Below are 2,962 nucleotides of genomic sequence, written 5' to 3' on the forward strand. Positions count from 1 at the left end.
AGCTGAGTGACGGCTCTGAGTAGAGATGGAGGACAATCCTCTGAGGCTGGCAATCAATCAAGCCCCCGTACTCATAGAAGTTTAGCCTACGACCTAGCCAATTGGACAAAAGCCGTATCCTGTTCCCAGGGAAGCCTTTAAAGGAATAGAGACTCATCTTATATGCTTAAAAGCCTCTGGAATTCTAGTTCCTTGCCAGTCTCCATGGAACACCCACCTCCTACCTGTCCCTAAACCAAGGACCAAAGACTATCGACCCGTACAGGACTTGAAAGATGCCTTCTTCACATCAGGCTAGTTCCTGAGAGCCAAAAGCTGTTTGCCTTTCAGTAGGAAGATCCGGAGTCAGATGTCACCATTCAGTACACTTAGACTCGACTTTCCCAAAGGTTCAAAAAGTCCCCCACCATCTTTGGGGAGGCCTCGGTTGGAGACCTCCAAATGTTTCCTGCTAAAGACCTAGGTTGCATCCTGCTCCAGTATGTAGATGACCTTCTGCTAGGACACTCCATGGCAGTCAGGTGTGCAAAAAGGACGGGTGCCCTGCTTCGACACCTGGAGGACTGTGGATATAAAGTGCCCAAAAAGAAAGCTCAGATCTGCAGACAGCAGGTACACTACCTAGGATTCACTATTTGAAAAGGGGAGTGCAGTCTATGGTCAGCAAGAAAGCAGGTCATCTGCAGCTTACCAGAACCTAAAACCAGGAGGCAAATAAGAGAACATTTAGGAGCTGTGAGATTTTTGCAGACTGCAGATTCCAAACTTTGTGGTGTTAGCCAAAGCATTGAATGGAGTTATAAAGGGGGTGACCGAGAGCCTTTTAAATAGAGGTCTCTACAACAACAAGACTTATAAGTTAAAAGAAAAACTTATGTCAGCCCAAGCTGACTCTAATGTAACTCTAAGGAACACCAAAAGACACCATTGGCTAACAAATGCTACATTAACTAAACACCAAAGCTTGTTATGTGAAAATCAATGTATAACCATAGAAGTCTGTAATTCTTTAAATCCTGCCACTTTGCTCCCAGTATCAGACAGCCCTGTTAAACATAACTGTGTAGAGGTGTTGGACTATGTCTATTCTAGCAGACCAGATCTTTGAGACCAGCCATAGGCATTGGTAGATTAGGAGTTCTACATGGACAGAAGCAGCTTCATCAACCCGCAAAGAGAAAGGTGTGCAGGATATGCAGTAGTAAACTTAGATGATGTTGTTGAAGCTAAGCCATTGGCTCAGAGCACTTCAGCCCAAAAAGCAGAACTCATTCCTCTAACTCGGGCTCTGGAACTCAGTGAACCTAAGATTGTAAACATCTATACTGATTCTTGATATGCCTTTCTAACCCTTCAAGTATGTGGAGCATTGTATAAGGAAAAAATTCTAGAGGAAAAGACATAAAATGTCAGCAAGAAATTCTACAATGATTAGAAGCAGTGTAGAAACCCCAAAAGGTGGCATTCATGCATTGCAGGGGATATCAGCGAGTTTCCGCTTCGGTTTGCCAAGGAAAGCCCTGAGCAGACACAGAGGCAGGAAAAGCAGCATCTACTCCTTACCAGACATCAGTCACAGCCCTGCTACTCCTTCAAATGCTTGATCTGGTGCCAACTTATTCTAAAGAGGAAAAAGAATTTTTTCAGACAGAGAGAGGACAAACAATAAAGGAAAGATACATAAAGTTACCAGATGGAAGAATAGCAGTGCCACCGCTGCTATACAGTCATGCTGACTGTATGTGAAACTACCCATTGAGGCCAAGAATCACTTGAAAAGCTGTTAGGCCAGTATTTCTACATCTCACCCTTGCCAGCTGTTGCTACAACAGTAGCGCAGTGATGCCTTACCTGTGGACAGCACAATGCGAAGCAAGGCCCCTCTGTACCTCGGGGAATAGAAGCCTCTGGAGCAGCTCATTTTGAAGATCTTCAAGTGGACTTCACAGAAATGCCTAAATGTAGAAGTAACAAGTATTTACTGGTTCTAGTGTTTACTTACTCTAAGTAGGTGGAGGCTTATCCAACATGAACTGAAAAAGCTCCTGAAGTAACCTGTGTACTTCTTCAAAATTTCATCCCTAGGTTTGGACTGCCTCTACGAATTGGCTCAAATAATAGGCCAGCATTTGTTGCTGACTTGATACAGAAGACGGCAAAGGTATTAAGAATTTCATAGAAGTTACATGCCGTTTACCAACCTTAGAGTTCCGGAAAGTGCAGCAAATGAATCGAACTATCAGAAAAAGTTTCTGGAAAGTATGTCAAGAAACAAATTTAAAATAGACACAAGTCCTTCCTATAGTATTGTTTAAAATTAAGTGTACCCCTTCTAAGAGAACAGCATACTCCCCCTTTGAAATTCTGTATCATAGGCCTCCTCCCATACTGGGAGGGCTTCCAGGTACTCCCCAAGAGTTAGGTGAGATTGCATTACAGCGGCAGCTACAGGCCTTAGGGAAAATTACTCAGACTATCTCAACTTGAGTAAATGAGAGGTGCCCAGGCAGCTGATTCTCCCCAGTTCACCCTTTTTCTCCAGGTGACATTGTGTGGATCAAGGACTGGAACGTGGCTCCGCTGTGGCCACAGTGGAAAGGACCCCAGACAATTAACCTGACCACTCCCACAGCTGTCAATGTAGAAGGAATCCCAGCCTAGATTCACCACAGCCTCATGAAGCCTGCAGCCGCTGAGACCTAGGAGGCCAAACCAAACTTGGACAATCCCTGAAAAGTGACCTTGAAGAAAATGACAAGCCCTGCTCCAATCACACCACGAAGCTGACTAGACTACACATGGCCAAAGCATGAGGAAAATCGTCGTAGGACTTATTGTCCTTATAACATGGACCTGTGTGGTAAAAGCTTCCACTACCTCTTCCCACACAGAGGACTGCCTTCAGTGCATACATCAGGACACTGAAGAAGGACAAGTTAAGATGATCGTTTTATTTTACAGC

The 2,962-nt window shown here is 44.4% G+C and overlaps 1 long non-coding RNA gene across 1 annotated transcript; it reads right to left on the minus strand.

Moving 5' to 3' along the window:
- Positions 1–1,562: 1,562 nt before the first annotated feature.
- On the minus strand, positions 1,563–2,409 carry LOC105378878 (uncharacterized). The gene is made up of 3 exons (XR_947655.2): positions 2,202–2,409; positions 1,852–1,955; positions 1,563–1,621 (listed from the first exon to the last, which is right to left on the minus strand). It is a non-coding gene; the product is annotated as an uncharacterized LOC105378878 (long non-coding RNA).
- Positions 2,410–2,962: the final 553 nt, after the last annotated feature.

Source organism: Homo sapiens, chromosome 1 (genome assembly GCF_000001405.40).
Source record: "Homo sapiens chromosome 1, GRCh38.p14 Primary Assembly".
In the NCBI taxonomy this organism is placed as follows: Eukaryota; Metazoa; Chordata; class Mammalia; order Primates; family Hominidae; genus Homo; species Homo sapiens.